Source organism: Homo sapiens, chromosome X, assembly GCF_000001405.40.
Source record: "Homo sapiens chromosome X, GRCh38.p14 Primary Assembly".
NCBI lineage: Eukaryota > Metazoa > Chordata > Mammalia > Primates > Hominidae > Homo > Homo sapiens.
In genome coordinates, this window is record NC_000023.11 from 69,826,153 (window position 1) to 69,843,894 (window position 17,742).

Sequence of the window (17,742 nt, forward strand, 5' to 3'; positions counted from 1 at the left end):
TGCTGAGAAGAATGTATATTCTGTTGATTTGGGGTGGAGAGTTCTGTAGATGTCTAATAGGTCTGCTTGTTGCAGAGCTGAGTTCAAGTCCTGGATATCCTTGTTAACCTTCTGTCTTGTTGATCTGTCTAATGTTGACAGTGGGGTATTAAAGTCTCCCATTATTAATGTGTGGGAGTCTAAGTCTCTTTGTAGGTCACTCAGGACTTGCTTTATGAATCTGGGTGCTCCTGTATTGGGTGCATATATATTTAGGATAGTTAGCTCTTCTTGTTGAATTGATCCCTTGACCATTATGTAATGGCCTTCTTTGTCTCTTTTGATCTTTGTTGGTTTGAAGTCTGTTTTATCAGAGACTAGGATTGCAACCCCTGCCTTTTTTTGTTTTCCATTTGCTTGGTAGATCTTCCTCCATCCTTTTATTTTGAGCCTATGTGTGTCTCTGCACGTGAGATGGGTTTCCTGAATATAGCACACTGATGGGTCTTGACTCTTTATCCAATTTGCCAGTCTGTGTCTTTTAATTGGAGCATTTAGTCCATTTACATTTAAAGTTAATATTGTTATGTGTGAATTTGATCCTGTCATTATGATGTTAGCTGGTGATTTTGCTTGTTAGTTGATGCAGTTTCTTCCTAGTCTCGATGGTCTTTACATTTTGGCATGATTTTGCAGTGGCTGGAACCGGTTGTTCCTTTCCATGTTTAGCACTTCCTTCAGTAGCTCTTTTAGGGCAGGCCTGGTGGTGACAAAATCTCTCAGCATTTGCTTTTCTGTAAAGTATTTTATTTCTCCTTCACTTATGAAGCTTAGTTTGGCTGGATATGAAATTCTGCATTGAAAATTCTTTTCTTTAGGAATGTTGAATATTGGCCCCCACTCTCTTCTGGCTTTTAGAGTTTCTGCCGAGAGATCCGTTGTTAGTCTGATGGGCTTCCCTTTGAGGGTAACCCGACCTTTCTCTCTGGCTGCCCTTAACATTTTTTCTTTCATTTCAACTTTGGTGAATCTGACAATTATGTGTCTTGCAGTTGCTCTTCTCAAGGAGTATCTTTGTGGCATTCTCTGTATTTCCTGAATCTGAATGTTGGCCTGCCTTGCTAGATTGGGGAAGTTCTCCTGGATAATATCTTGCAGACTGTTTTCCAACTTGGTTCCATTCTCCCCATCACTTTCAGGTACACCAATCAGACATAGATTTGGTCTTTTCACATAGTCCCATATTTCTTGCAGGCTTTGCTCGTTTCTTTTTATTCTTTTTTCTCTAAACTTCCCTTCTCGCTTCATTTCATTCATTTCATCTTCCATCACTGATACCCTTTCTTCCAGTTGATCACATCAGCTCCTGAGGCTTCTGCATTCTTCACATAGTTCTCGAGCCTTGGTTTTCAGCTCCATCAACTCCTTTAAGCACTTCTCTGTATTGATTATTCTAGTTATACATTCTTCTAAATTTTTTTCAAAGTTTTCAACCTCTTTGCCTTTGGTTTGAATTTCCTCCCGTAGCTTGGAGTAATTTGATCGTCTGAAGCCTTCTTCTCTCAGCTCGTCAAAGTCATTCAACGTCCAGCTTTGTTCCATTGCTAGTGAGGAACTGTGTTCCTTTGGAGGAGGAGAGGCGCTCTGCTTTTTAGAGTTTCCAGTTTTTCTGCTCTGTTTTTTCCCCATCTTTGTGGTTTTATCTACTTTTGGTCTTTGATGATGGTGATGTACAGATGGGTTTTTGGTGTGGCTGTCCTTTCTGATTGTTAGTCTTCCTTCTAACAGACAGGACCCTCAGCTGCAGGTCTGTTGGAGTTCCTGGCCGTGTGAGGTGTCAGTCTGCCCCTGCTGGGGGGTGCCTCCCAGTTAGGCTGCTCAGGGGTCAGGGGTCAGGGAGCCACTTGAGGAGGCAGTCTGCCCGTTCTCAGATCTCCAGCTGCGTGCTGGGAGAACCACTGCTCTCTTCAAAGCTGTCAGACAGGGACATTTAAGTCTGCAGAAGTTACTGCTGTCTTTTTGTTTGTCTGTGCCCTGCCCCCAGAGGTGGAGCCTACAGAGGCAGGCAGGCCTCCTTGAGCTGTGGTGGGCTCCACCCAGTTGGAGCTTCCAGTCTGCTTTGTTTATGTAAGCAAGCCTGGGCAATGGTGGGCGCCCCTCTCCCAGCCTCGCTGCCGCCTTGCAGTTTGATCTCAGACTGCTGTGCTAGCAATCAGCGAGACTCCGTGGGCGTAGGACCCTCCGAGTCAGGTGTGGGATATAATCTCCTGATGCACCCTTTTTTAAGCCCATTGGAAAAGCGCAGTATTCGGGTGGGAGTGACCCGATTTTCCAGGTGCCGTTTGTCACCCCTTTCTTTGACTAGGAAAGGGAACTCCCTGACCCCTTGCACTTCCCAAGTGAGGCAATGCCTCCCCTTGCTTCGGCTCGCGCACGGTGCACTGCACCCACTGACCTGTGCCCAGTGTCTGGCACTCCCTAGTGAGATGAAACCAGTGCCTCAGATGGAAATGCAGAAATCACCTTTCTTCTGCGTCGCTCACGCTGGGAGCTGTAGACCGGAGCTGTTCCTATTCGGCCATCTTGGCTCCTCCCTCATGTTATTCTATTAAAGATAGGAAACACATTGAATAGTAGTCAGGTTTCCTGTCATATCATGTTTTTCATTAGCCCATCAATGAAACCATCTTCCTTACCTTTCTAGATTGTTACACCATTTTGTCAAGTGACAGCTAGTGTACCCTTCAGTTCTTTCTGTTTTCTTTGCCTAAAATGTTCTTCTCCTAGATCTTTTAATAGCAGTGCCATTTTTATCATTCATTTCTCATCTCAAATGCCATCGTTTCAGAAAGGGATTCCCTGACCATTCTGTTTAAAATAGTCCACTTATGCCCCTTCATCATCATCCCCCATTATTCTCTATCATATCACCTTGTTTATTTCCTTCAGGGAAATGATTATATTCTGTAATTTTCTTGTTTGCTTTTTTCCGTCTTTCCTCACTTAGACGTAAGCCCCATGAGGTCATGAACCTTTTCTATCTTGTTCATAGGTAAATCCCTAGTTCCCAACACAGTGCTGTCCACGCATAAAGATGGTAAATATTTGTTAAATGGATAAAGACCCTCACACCACATTTAGGGTTTTTTTTATGGTAAAGACATTCTTGGACTGGAAGAGCCTTGCTCAGAGACATTTTGCACTTCCCCACCACCTCATATCAGGTATTTGGATGTCCAAGGTTGATAATCTTTCCATTTTTATAATATGTCAAAAAGTGGTCCTTTTTCTGTTACTGCTTTCAATGATGACAGGTTTTCCAAAATGTAAAGACAAGAAACTGGAGCATTCATGGAAAAAAATGTTGTTGTAATTAAAATTTTGTGGCTATATTTAAGGATAAATGATAAACATCACAGATGGTTGTTTGCAAAGATGTATGTGAGTGCTTGGTTACATGGGCTTCATCCAGTGGTTTGCTGTAACTTAATTATTTAACTGATAGGATCAGAAATGGAATCACCTGAGACATTATGGTAGCACCTGCTTCTGAAACCATTATCAAAGTGATCTTTATGTCATCTTTCTTCCCAGGGTCTAGTGAAGATGACCACCTGCTTGCCTTGGCTTTAACTTACTTCAGTGCTCACTAGTCATGTTTCTTTTATTTCTCCACCTAGCTTTAATGATTTTTTAGAAATAATTTCATTCATTATATGTGGGTGCTATATTAACATCAAACCACATTTCTCTTTTCATAAATCCCCTAAAAGCACATCTTTCTAAGCAAAACATTTTAGTTTGCAATGACCCTGTGTTATAGTTTGCCATTACCTTATTTTCTATATTTGACAGTATTGTCTAATGTATTTTGGGCAGGCTTTTTGATCAGCTTTTTTACTGACAATAACAGGCAAGTATTTCCATTAGTCTTCCGGCTCCTTTTATCCCTATATTCTTTCTTCTTTCTTCCTGTCTTTTCATCTTGCTTCTTCCCCATGCATTTTTTCTATTTATCTTAAAAATATTTTTCTTGTGTGATGTGCCATAAATTGATGTTGACAAAATGGTTTCTATCAATAAATGAATTCTTAAATTTACTGAAAATTTTAATTGAATTTTTTAAAGCCAGAATGACTCCTTGTTCTTCCCAAAGACAAAAAGCTGTTCATGTCCACACCTGCTAATCTAAGCTGTGGATTCTTAGTCCTTTGAAACACACAAAACAGTGCTCAGCAAAATTTTTTATTTTTTCTAAGTGCCAGAATACTGGCTACTGCTGAGGTAATTGGTTAGCCACACGTTGTATATGTTATTATTATGGCTTTTAAAGCTCCAAGTATAGGTAGAAACTAGGAAAAAAATTTGTATAATCCTCAAAATATTAAACTTCCATAAATAGTATTTGCATAGGTGCCACATGAGATTTCCTTTGAAAATCAAAAAAAAGAAATTTATGGAAAACTAATACTCGTGTAATAACATAAGTTACCACTCAAAAGGTAAATAGTATAATAACTGACAGTGTATCTTTTAGGGATCATGGAAACGCTTGAAATTGTGAGTAGGACAGCATTTGATATGAAATAAGCTTGCAGAAATGATTCAGTAGCTAACTGGATATTGGTGACATAGAATGTTTCCGAAATGCCAGCCTGTGATAAGATATTCTGAGACCTTGAATGCTTAAGTATGTTTGTAGAGCAGTTTTTCTCAATCTTTATTCTTTAGAACCCTAGTGTAACAAAAGATATGACTAGTTTGGCTTGAGGAGAGTAGAGGGTTCCATAGCCAAAGAAGTTTGGGGTATACCACATACTATGTTTCTCCCTTATATCCTTATTACACATATTAACATATTAAAGGCAGTAAAAGTACCTGTTGTTTACCTTTATTTTACCCATTGTTTCCAAACTTACTTGATGAGAAATCCTTTTATTATTATTATTAAACTTTAAGTTCTAGGGTACATGTGCACAACGTACAAGTTTGATACATAAGTATACTTGTGCCATCTTGGTTTGCTGCACCCATCAACTCATCATTTACGTTAGGTACTACTCCTAATGCTATACCTCCCCCAGCCCCTTACCCCACAACAGGTGTGATGTTCCCCACTCTGTGTCCAAGTGATCTTCTCGTTCAGTCCCCACCTATGAGTGAGAAGATGCGGTGTTTGGATTTCTGTCCTTGTGATAGTTTGCTGAGAATGATGGTTTCCAGCTTCATCCATGTCCCTGCAAAGGATTTGAACTCATCCATTTTTTATGGCTGCATAGTATTTGATGGTGTATATGTGCCACATTTTCTTAATCCAGTCTATCATTGATGGACATTTGTGTTGGTTCCAAGTCTTTGCTATTGTGAATAGTGCCACAATAAACATACATGTGCATGTGTCTTTATATTGGCATGATTTATAATCCTTTGGGTATACACCCAGTAATGGGATTGCTGAGTCAAATGGTAATTCTAGTTCTAGATCCCTGAGGAATCGCCACACTGTCTTCCACAATGGTTGAACTAATTTGCATTCCCACCAACAGTGTAAAAGTTCCTGTTTCTCCACATCCTCTCCAGCATCTTTTTAATGATTGCCATTCTAACTTGCATGAGATGGTATCTTATTGTGGTTTTGATTTGCATTTCTCTAATGACCATGATGATGAGCATTTTTTCATGTGTCTGTTGGCTGCATAGATGTCCTCTTTTGAGAAGTGTCTGTTCATATCCTTTGCCCACTTTTTGATGCAGCTTTTTTTTTCTTGTAAATTTGTTTGAGTTCTTTGTAGATTCTGGATATTAGCCCTTTGTCAGATGGGTAGACGGCAAAAATTTTCTCCCATTCTGTAGGTTACCTGTTCACTCTGATGGTAGTTTCTTTTGCTGTGCAGAAGCTCTTTAGTTTAATTAGATCCCAGTTGTCAATTTTGGCTTTTGTTTTCATTACTTTTGGTGTTTCAGTCATGGAGTCCTTGCCAATGCCTGTGTCCTGAATGATATTGCCTAGGTTTTCTTCTAGGATTTTTATGGTTTTAGGTCTAACATTTAAGTCTTTAATCAATCTCGAGTTAATTTTTGTATAAGGTGTAAGGAAGGGATCCAGTTTCAGCTTTCTACATATGGCTAGCCAGTTTTCCCAGCACCATTTATTAAATAGGGAATCCTTTCCCCATTTCTTGTATTTGTCAAATTGTCAAAGATCAGATGGTTGTAGATGTGTGGTATTATTTCTGAGGGCTCTGTTCTGTTCCATTGGTCTATATCTCTGTCTTGGTACCAGTACCATGCTGTTTTGGTTACTGTAGCCTTGTAGTATAGTTTGAAGTCAGGTAGCATGATGCCTCCAGCTTTGTTCTTTTTGCTTAGGATTGTCTTGGCAATGCAGGCTCTTTTTTGGTTCCATATGAAATTTAAAGTAGTTTTTTTTCCAATTCTGTGAAGAAAGTCATTGGTAGCTCAATGGGGATGGCATTGAATCTATAAATTACTTGGGGAAGTATGGCCATTTTCACAATATTGATTCTTCCTATCCGTGAGCATGGAATATTCTTCCATTTGTCTGTGTCCTCTTTTATTTCCTTGAGCAGTGGTTTGTAGTTCTCCTTGAAGAGGTCCTTCACATCCCTTGTAAGTTGGATTCCTAGGTATTTTATTCTCTTGGAAGCAATTGTGAATGGGAATTCATTCATGATTTGGCTCTCTGTTTGTCTGTTATTGGTGTATAGGAATGCTTGTGATTTTTGCACATTGATTTTGTATCCTGAGACTTTGCTGAAGTTGCTTATCAGCTTAAGGAGATTTTGGGCTGAGACAATGGGGTTTTCTAAATATACAATCATGTCATCTGCAAACAGGGACAATTTGACTTCCTCATTTCCTAATTGAATACCCTTTATTTATTTCTCCTGCCTGATTGCCCTGGCCAGAACTTCCAACACTATGTTGAATAGGAGTGGTGAGAGAGGGCATCCCTGTCTTGTGCCAGTTTTCAAAGGGAATGCTTCCAGTTTTTGCCCATTCAGTATGATACTGGCTGTGGGTTTGTCATAAATAGCTCTAATTATTTTGAGATATGTTCCATCAATACCTAATTTATTGAGAGTTTTTAGCATGAAGCGCTGTTGAATTTTGTCAAAGGCCTTTTCTGCATCTGTTGAGATAATCATGTGGTTTTTTTGTTGTTGTTGGTTCTGTGTGGATTACGTTTATTGATTTGCGTATGTTGAACCAGCCTTGCATCCCAGGGATGAAGCTGACTTGATCGTGGTGGATAAGCTTTTTGCTGTGCTGCTGGATTCGGTTTGCCATTATATTATTGAGGAGTTTTGCATCAATGTTCATCAGGGATATTGGTCTAAAATTCTCTTTTTTTTTTTTGCTGTGTCTCTGCCAGGCTTTGATATCAGGATGATGTTGGCCTCATAAAATGATTTAGGGAGGATTCCCTCTTTTTCTACTGATTGGAGTCATTTCAGAAGGAATGGTACCAGCTCCTCTTTGTACCTCTGGTAGAATTCGGCTGTGATTCCGTCTGGTCCTGGAATGTTTTTGGTTGGTAGGCTATTAATTATTGCCTCAATTTCAGAGCCTGTTATTGGTCTATTCAGAGATTCAACTTCTTTCTGGTTTAGTCTTGGGAAGGTTATCTGTCCTGGAATTCATCCATTTCTTTCTTTATATATATATACTTTAAGTTCTAGGGTACATGTGCACAACGTGCAGGTTTGTTACATACGTATACAGGTGCCATGTTAGTGTGCTGCACCCATTAACTCGTCATTTACATTAGGTATATCTCCTAATGCTATCCCACCCCCCTCCCCCTACCCCACGACAGGCACCAGTGTGTGATGTTCCCCACCCTGTGTCCAAGTGTTCTCATTATTCAATTCCCACCTATGAGTGAGAACATACGATGTTTGGTTTTCTGTCCTTGTGATAGTTTGCTGAGAATGATGGTTTCCAGCTTCATCCATGTCCCTACAAAGGACATGAACTCATCCAACTATGTGTTATATGTGGTCAATTTTAGAATAAGTGACACTGTTGATTTGGGGTGGAGAGTTCTGTAGATGTCTATTAGGTCCGCTTGTTGCAGAGCTGAGTTCAAGTCCTGGATATCCTTGTTAACCTTCTGTCTTGTTGATCTGTCTAATATTGACAGTGGGGTGTTAAAGTCTCCCATTATTAATGTGTGGGAGTCCAAGTCTCTTTTTAGGTCTCTCAGTACTTGCTTTATGAATCTGGATGCTCCTGTATTGGGTGCATATATATTTAGGATAGTTAGCTCTTCTTGTTGAATTGATCCCTTGACCATTATGTAATGGCCTTCTTTGTCTCTTTTGATCTTTGTTGGTTTAAAGTCTGTTTTATTAGAGACTGGGATTGCAACCCCTGCTTTTTTTTTTTTTTTTTGCTTTCCATTTGCTTGGTAGATCTTCCTCCATCCCTTTATTTTGAGCCTATGTGTGTCTCTGCACATGAGATGGGTCTGCTGAACATAGCCCACGGATGGGTCTTGACTCTTTATCCAATTTGCCAGTCTGTGTCTTTTAACTGGGGCATTTAGCCCATGTACATTTAAGGTTAATATTGTTATGTGTGAATTTGATCCTGTCATTATGATGTTAGCTGGTTATTTTCCTCATTAATTGATGCAGTTTCTTCCTAGCATTGATGGTCTTTACAATTTGGCATGTTTTTGCAGTGGCTGGTACCAGTTGTTCCTTTCCATGTTTAGTGTTTCCTTCAGGAGCTCTTGTAAGGCAGGCCTGGTGGTGACAAAATCTCTTAGCATTTACTTCTCTGTAAAGGATTTAATTTCTCCTTCACTTATGAAGCTTAGTTTGGCTGGATATGAAATTCTGGGTTGAAAATTCTTTTCTTTAAGAATGTTAAATATCGGACCCCACTCTCTTCTGATTTGTAGGGTTTCTGCCGAGAGATCAGCTGTTAGTCTGATGGACTTCCTTTGTGGGTAACTCGACCTTTCTCTCTGGCTGCCCTTAACACTTTTTCCTTCATTTCAACCTTGGTGAATCTGACAATTATGTGCCTTGGGGTTGCTCTTCTCGAGGAGTATCTTTCTGTTGTTCTCTGTATTTCCTGAATTTGAATGTTGGCCTGCCTTGGTAGGTTGGGGAAGTTCTCCTGGATAATATCCTGCAGAGTGTTTTCCAACTTGGTTCCCTTCTCCCATCACTTTCAGGTACACCAGTCAAATGTAGATTTGGTCTTTTTCCATAGTCCCATGTTTCTTGGAGTGTTTGTTCATTTCTTTTTACTCTTTTTTCTCTAACCTTGTTTTCTCACTTTATTTCATTAATTTGATCTTCAATCACTGATACCCTTTCTTCCACTTGATCAAATCAGCTATTGAAGCTTGTGCATGTGTCACGTAGTTCTCGTGGCATGGTTTTCAGCTCCATCAGGTCATTTAAGGTCTTCTCTACACTGTTTATTCTAGTTAGCCGTTTGTCTAATCTTTTTTCAAGGTTTTTTGCTTCCTTGGGATGGGTTCAAACATCCTCTTTTAGCTTGGAGAAATTTGTTATTACCCACCTTCTGAAGCCTACTTCTGTCAACTTGTCAGTCATTCTCCATCCAGCTTTGTTCCGCTGCTGTTGAGGAGCTGCGAGCCTTTGGAGGAGAAGAGGCACTCTGATTTTTAGAATTTTCAGCTTTTCTGCTCTGGTTTCTCCCCATCTTTTTGGTTTTATCTACCTTTGGTCTTTGATGTTGGTGACCTACAGATGGGGTTTTGGTGTAGATGACCTTTTTGTTGATGTTGATGCTATTCCTTTCTGTTTGGTAGTTTTCCTTCTAACAGTTAGGTCCCTCAGCTGCAGGTCTGTTGGAGTTTGCTGGAGGTCCACTCCAGACCCTGTGTGCCTGGGTATCACCAGTGGAGGCTGCAGAACAGCAAATATTGCAGAACAGCAAATATTGCTGCCTGATCATTCCTCTGGAAGCTTCATCCCAGACGGGCAGCCACCTCTATGAGGTGTCTATCAGCACCTACTGGGAGATGTCTCCCAGTTAGGCTATACAGAGGTCAGGGACCCACTTGAGGAGGCAGTCTGTCCATTCTCAGAGCTCAAACGTCGTGCTGAGAGAACCACTGCTCTCTTCAGAGCTGTCAGACAGGGACATTTAAGTCTGCAGAAGTTGTCTGCTGCCTTTTGTTTAGCTATGCCCTGCCCCCAGAGGTAGAGTCTAGAGGCAGTAGGCCTGGTTGAGCTGTGGTGGGCACCGCCCAGTTCAAGCTTCCAGACCACTTTGTTTACCTACTCAAGCCTCAGCAATGGCAGACGCCCCTCCCCCAGCCAGGCTGCCACCTCACAGTTGGATCTCAGACTGCTGCGCTACCAGTGAGCAAGGCTTTGTGGGTGTGGGACCCACCGAGCCAGGCATTGGAGAGAATCTTCTTGTCTGCCAGTTGCTAAGACCTTGAGAAAAGCACAGTATTTGGGCGGGAGTGTCCCGTTTTTCCAGGTAGTCTGTCACAGCTTCCCGTGGCTAGGAAAGGGAAATCCCCCAACTCTTTGCACTTCCCAGTTGAGGCGATGCCATGCCCTGCTTCAGCTCACCCTCCATGGGCTGCACCCACTGTCCATCCAGTCTCAATGAGTTGAACCAGGTACCTCAGCTGGAAATGCAGAAATCACCCATCTTCTGCTTCGCTCACTCTGGGAGCTGCAGACCAGAGCTGTTCCTATTTGGCCATCTTGGAATGCCCCCAAGAAATCCTTTTATGATAGGCTAACTCTTAGTGTATTATGAGACACTAGTGTTTTGGAGAGCACAGTTTGGAAAATTCTGTTTTAGAATGCTCTTCAAAATCTAGCTGAATAAGCTATTCTGTTTTTTAAATTCTTTAATTTTTAAAAAATTTTTTTGTTTCTTTTTCATTTTTGTGGGTATATGGTAGCCATATATATTTATTGGGTGCATGAGATATTTTGATACAGGCATACCATGCATAATAATCACATCGGGGTAAAACCTGGCATATCTTCAGGAAGTTTGATAATGTGTCTGGTGTACTTCAGTAGCAAACTACAAAAATAAAGTCTAGAAAAGTATAAAGGTGACTACACAGTTAAACCCACAATCAGAGTTGTGGCTTAGTGCAATTCTCCCTTCTTTATCTCTACAGTCAGTCCATGGTGCTGCCTCACAACCACTGTGCCACTGCCACGACACCTATCTTCTGGCTTTTATTTTGGATTCTTTTCTTTTAATTGTTCCATGAGATGATGACTTTTCATTGTATTAAAGACCAGCTGAATTACCTGTCACTGCTTAAGAGACTCATAAACCAGTGTTAAATGAAGGCTCATAAAAACAATTTAAAAATGAAGTTGTAACAGTTTTCTATAATTGTTGCATATGATTTTTTTGTTAAGATCATGTTTATATTCTTCAAGACACATATGAATAAATCTCTGTTTCTACTCACTCTGTAACATGCTATAGAGAGTTGTCTATGTGACAAGTAGCTCAATTGAAAGTCAATGCCTACAGTTAAAAGTGTCTTCCTTTGCGAATAGTCATGGAGATCGTCACCAGGAAATGCACATCTTTTAAAGCAAAAGGATCATCCAAAGGAATTGGTGGCATATGAGGAATTGATTGTCCTCTTTACCATACCCTGTTGAAATGTGCTGTAGCAGGACCCAGAGCTGCATGAATTCCAGATATTGTTCTTCAAATAAGTTCTCAGGGAGACCTGGGGACTCAAGAACTGATCCCAATATGATCTTACCATTCCATCTTTAGGGTGACCTTTCCATTTTACAGCTTGACAATGGTGATACATTTCAGACATTATAAAGATGTTGGATTCCTTTGGGGATCCTCTTTGAAATCACTGTTTCTTTTCTCTGCCACGATGTCTCAGCATTGTAAAGAGGATCTGTCACTTTTGGCAGCCACAATCTCCCCATGCTGAACGTGAGTCTACTTTATGGTAAAGAACAGGCTGTCCCTTTCAGTAAGCACATAGCCTCTGAGTGGAACTCTGTTTCATCTACTGTAGTAGAGGATCCTGCCTTGCACTTTGAGTGGTTAGACACTCCTCAGATTAGGCATTAGGCTTAGTTGCCTTTGAAAGAGCATATTGCCTTTGCAATCAACTACAAATGATCTTTACATTAGCTAATGCCATGTGATAAAATGTGCATGTAGGATTTCAAGAAATAAACATCTGGGCTGGGCGTGGTGGCTCACGCCTGTAATCCCAGCACTTTGGGAGGCTGAGGCGGGTGGATCACGAGGTCAAGAGATCAAGACCATCCTGGCCAACATGGTGAAACCCCATCTCTACTAAATATACAAAAAATTAGCCGGGCGTGGTGGCAGGCGCCTGTAGTCCCAGCTACTCAGGAAGCTGAGGCAGGACAATGGCATGAACCCAGGAGGCGGTGCTTGCAGTGAGCCAAGATCGCGCCACTGCACTCCAGCCTGGGTGACAGAGCGAGACTCCGTCTCAAAAAAAATAAATAAAAAACAAATAAACATCTGGAATTCATGCAGGTCTGGGTCCTGCTACAGCACATTTCAACAGCGTTATGGTAAAGTGGACAATCAATTCCTTATAAACCACCACTTTCTTTGGTTGATCCAAAGGAATATATCTCTTTTATTTGCCCTCAAGACTGCCTATCTCTCATGTTTGTTCCTTAGGTGATTATTCCTTTCAAACTGACTTTCAGATTATCAGAACTCTCATTTGTTTTAAGTTTTTCCCAATCCAAATTTGTTCATCTTCAAAATGGCATTTTGTTAGTCTAATTTTGTGATGATATCCACACAAAGAAATAAATGCAAATATGTAGATGTTTGAAAACCCCTCCTGTCCATATAGGCAGATATAGAAAATGTGTATTTATGAACCGAACTAATCAGCATTTTAAATGAGATGTATCCCAGCCTATATTTTAGGTCAGACCATCCCAATTTTGTTGAATTGTTGAATTTCCATTTAGCTGTTTTCAACAGTATAGTAACAAACAGGAAGAAAGTTACTTTTGTTTATAGAGATTAGGTCCAAATGGCTTCAACTCACCAGGCCACTCTTCAGACATGCTCATTTCCCTTTGCTTCTATTCACCATCTATTCTCCCTTCTTAGAAAAATGAGTTTCTTTATCTCCTTCATCTTTTTAACCTACACCCACAGTTGAACTTTTCCAAAATCTATAACTTGGGCTTGGAACTTCCTACCCTATATCCCCAGCCTCTTCCCTTCAGTTTATCCAGGAATCTTTTGAAATCCTACATGAACATTTTGTCACATGGCTTAGCTAACTAATTGAGAGAAAGATGGTACAATCTTTGCTTTACTCAGTCTAAAAGTATTGTCACACCATAATATGCACTTACTCCTCTGCCTTGTCACAAGAGTAATATGTTATTTCCTTTTGAAAACATTCTGTTCAATAGTCAGTTGTCTACAGGCTCTTTATGACCATCCATGTATGATCCCCTTTACTTTTTAGAGACTAAGTCAAACTCCCTCTGTTCAGTATTCCACAAATGTGTGCTACTAATGAAAACCTGTGTGTGATTGAGGGTAAGGTTGGGGAGAGGAAGCCAACTCTGGCATCGAAAAGATGTGATCAGCCAGATGGTGAAGTAGTTGAAGAATGGCATTATCAGCTAGGGCTGGGGAGCAACATGTGATCAAATTGGTCAAGACCTCAAAACGATTTCAGAGTTATAACAGGCTAGTTCTGTACACTGATGTTTCCCAAACTCTGCTGCAGTATATTAACAAGTGTTATGAAAAAAGAAGGGGGATGTGATTACATTTAACCTGATGTGTTTACTTATTGCTCTCTTGCCTAAAACTTTTCAGTAGTTACTCTCTGCAGTTCAAATAATTTCCAACCTCTTTTCCATCAACTGATAAGGTTTGCCTGCCTCTAGACTCTCATCTGGTGCTATGCTCCTGTGAATTCAACTGCACTCCAGCCACACTGGCCTTTTTTTTTCTTTTCCTCAAACTCACCAAGCTTTTTTCTAATTCAGGCTTTGCACATGCTCTTCCTTCTGCCTGGAAAATTCAAGCTTATTCATGGCCAGCGAGAGACAGCACTCCTCTTTCAGGTTATGGCTCACACACTACCTCCTAAAGATGCCCCCAAACCCATTGTTTTCTCTATTCTTTTCCTTCATAGAAATATCATGTTTAATTATTTTTTCTTACTTCTTGTCTATTAGTCTTCCCCCACTGGAGTGAAAGCAAGGTTCTTGCTTATTTTGTTTACTTTTGTGTCTCCAGAATACAGAACAGTGCCTGGCATATGGCATGAGCCCAATATATATTTGTTGAATGAATGAATGAAATGTTGTTGAAAAGAATACAGGAACTAACTCAAATGTCCAACAACAAGAAAATGATCATATGTATTATTTGATTAAATTCAATATATTTTTAGTTATAAATAACAGGAATATTATGCAAAACAAATATTTTTGTTAAGGGGAAAATATAGAATAAAATTGTCTTACTCCATTCAACCTGCTATAACAAAATTCCATGTACTAGATAATTTGTAAAGAACATAAATTTATTTTCTCATAGTTTTGGAGGCTGGGAAGTCTAAGATCAAGCTCCAGCAGGTTCAGTTGTCTGGCGAGGGTTTCTCTCTGCTTCCAAAATGGTGCCTTGTTGCTGCATTCTCTGGCAGGCAGAAACATTATATCCTCACATGTCAGAAGGCAGGTCAAGAGAGCCAAACACTGTGTGAAGCCTTTTTTCTACATGCCTTAATCCCATTCACAAAGGAAGAGCCTTCATGGCCTAATTACTTCTTAAAGGTCCCACTCTTAATACTATCACATTGGCCATTAAGTTTCAACATCTGAAATTCAGAGGGGACACATTCAAACCATAACAACAATATCTTCTGTATGCTATGGTGAAATATGTATACATATGGACAATAATAAAAGTAATTCAGTATGTGTATATGCGCTCAGCTGTTTGTTCCATGAATTTTAACATGTTTGTATTATCTTCATAATAAAAATAAATAATGTATCTAAAATTCTAGGTGAGCAAAAGAAATATCAATGCATTAGCCTTGTTACTATGGTCAATAGTAGAGGAGAACAGCAAGAGGAATTTCAAAATTCCTATTACAGTGCCAAGATTAGTGCTCCAAATTTTTTCTTGAGGGACATGGAGAACTTGGAGAGATTTAGGAGAGTTTGGATACAGAATTATTAGAGAAATACTAAGGAAATTCATTTTCTTTTCTTTTTTGTGACTGGGTCTCACTTTATTACCCAGGCTCAAGTAGTTCTCCCACTTCAGCCTCCCAAATTCCTGGACTACAGGCACATACCATCATGCCCAGCTATTTCTTTCTTTCTTTTTTCTTTTTTAAGCAGAGGCAAGATCTCACTATGTTGTCCAGGCTGGTCTCGAACTCCTGAGCTCAAGCAATCCTCTCACCTCAACCTCCCAAAGTGCTGGGATTACAGGAATGAGCCACCATGCCCAGGCAATATAGTTTCTTCTTCAGGCAGAATAATTCTACTTTATAATCTCCATTGAGAGCTGAATAAATAGTAAGGGACCTAAGTTACAGTAAATTATAGAATTACAGAAATAAACTTTTCAAGATGAGTGTCTTAAAAGCAAGGAATTTGTGACAAAAGGAGTGTGTGGGATCTCCTACATAGGAGAACTCTTAGTAACAGGGAATTTAGATGATTGTCTTTTAGTCTTGACAAGGCTAAATGTAGTCCTACCTAAAGCTAAAGAAAAGTATAAAATTTTCCACAGGGTTATTTCAGTCTTGTCATTCTGCTTCTTAACTTTGGGAAGACAGAAAAATATTTCTGCTATCTACTATATCAGGGGTCCCCCCCGTCGGACCATCGACCAATCTGTGGCCTGTTAGGAACCAGGCTGCACATCAGGAGGTGAGCAATGGGCGGATGAGTAAGGGAAGCTTCATGTGTATTTACAGCTGCTCCCCATCACTTGCATTATCACCTAAGTTCCGCCTTCTATCAGATCAGCAGTGGCATTAGATTCTCATAGGAGCGCAAACCCTATTGTAAATCACACATACGAGGGATCTAGGTTGCGTGCTCCTTATGAGAATCTAATGTCTGGTGATCTGTCACTGTCTCCCATCACCCCCATATGGGACTGTCTAGTTGCAGGAAAACAAGTTCTGGGCTCCCACTGATTCTACATTATGGTGAGTTGTATAATGAGTTCATTATATATTACAAAATAATAATAATAGAAATAAAGTGCACAATAAATGTAATGCATTTGAATCATCCTGAAACCATCTCCCCACCCCAGTCCATGGAAAAATTGTCTTCCACAAAACCAGTCCCTGGTGCCAAAAATATTGGGGACCACTGTAGTATACAGACTAAATCCATTTTGTTTAATAGCTTGTTTACTAAGCATCTTGAGCAAGGCTAGAGATTGTAAGATGAGAGATGCAAAAATACATATGATATGGCTTGGATCTGTGTCCCCACCCAAATCTCATGTTGAATTGTAATCCCCAATGTTGGAGGTGGCGCCTGGTGGCAGGTGATTTGTTCATGGGGATGGATCCTTCATGAATGGTTCAGCAGCATCCCCTTGGTCCTGTACTTGTGATAGAGTCCTAACAAGATCTGGTTGTGTAAAAGTGTGTAGCACCTCCCCGACTCTCTCTCTCTTGCCCCTGCTCTGGCCACGTGAAACATCCCTGCTCCACCTTTGCCTTCTGCTATGATTATAAATTTCCTGAGGCTTCCCCAGAAGCCAAGCAGATGCCAGCTTCATGCTTCCTGTACAAGCTGCAGAACCATGAGCCAACGAAACCTCTTTTCTTTATAAATTACCCAGTCTCAGGTATTTCTTTATAGCAATGCAAGAACTGACTGATCATATAGTAAAGAAAGTGCCTTCAAGGAGCTTATGGGTTAGTAAGTTATACTTGATAAAAATAAATGTGCAAACGAATATAATTTCTAGAAAAATAAGGTGCAGCAATCCTTCAAGACTCCAAATTTGTAACTTTACTCTTTATAGACTTTAACAGTTGTCTTTTTTATTTTGTTTTTAAATTTATTTTTACTACATTTAATTGTATATTTGAGGTTTATAACATTATGTTATAGGATACATACAGATAATGAAATAGTTACTATAGGGAAGCAGATGAATATATCTGTCATCTCATTGTTACTTGTTATGTGTGACAAGAGCAGCTAAAATATTTAACAAAAATTCCTAATACGGTCACATCAGTATGGTACTGACATAAATGAAGAGTTGTCTTTATTCTCTTCTATCTGACCATTTCCCTCTTTAGTCATACTCACCATACCTTTCATTTCATTATACAGAGTATTTCTAAGTCAGTGCAGTACAGAGGAAAGAACACTAGATTTGGAATTAAGAGATCAGTTTTTTTTTTTCCATTCTGCCTTTCCTCTGCATTAGCTGGGTAACTCAGTTGCTTTATCTATAAAATGCAGATGGTAAGACTTGCCCTACTTACTTCATATAAAGACAGGTACTTTGTAAAATATAAAAAGCCATATATATGGGATGGAATTATAAAGACTTCATTAAATAGCCGGGTGCGGTGGCTCACGCCTGTAATCCCAGCACTTTGGGAGGCCGAGGCAGGTGGATCACGAGGTCAGGAGATCGAGACCATCCTGGCTAACACGGTGAAACCCCGTCTCTATTAAAAATACAAAAAATTAGCCGAGCGTGGTGGCGGGG

At 40.1% G+C, this 17,742-nt stretch overlaps 1 protein-coding gene across 8 annotated transcripts in view, besides 1 other annotated feature; it reads left to right on the top strand.

Annotated features, from left to right (window-relative positions):
• EDA (ectodysplasin A) overlaps positions 1-17,742 on the top strand; it is a 423,360-nt gene that overhangs the window by 210,040 nt on the left and 195,578 nt on the right. The gene's annotated exons all lie outside the window — the stretch shown is intronic.
• Positions 12,417-12,617: a silencer, noted in NCBI's record as "fragment chrX:69058411-69058611 (GRCh37/hg19 assembly coordinates)". NCBI's record gives its function as "represses an EF-1alpha promoter that drives an FKBP-Casp9 reporter gene in an ReSE screen in K562 erythroleukemia cells {active_cell/tissue: K562}" and the evidence as "EXISTENCE:reporter gene assay evidence [ECO:0000049][PMID:32094911]".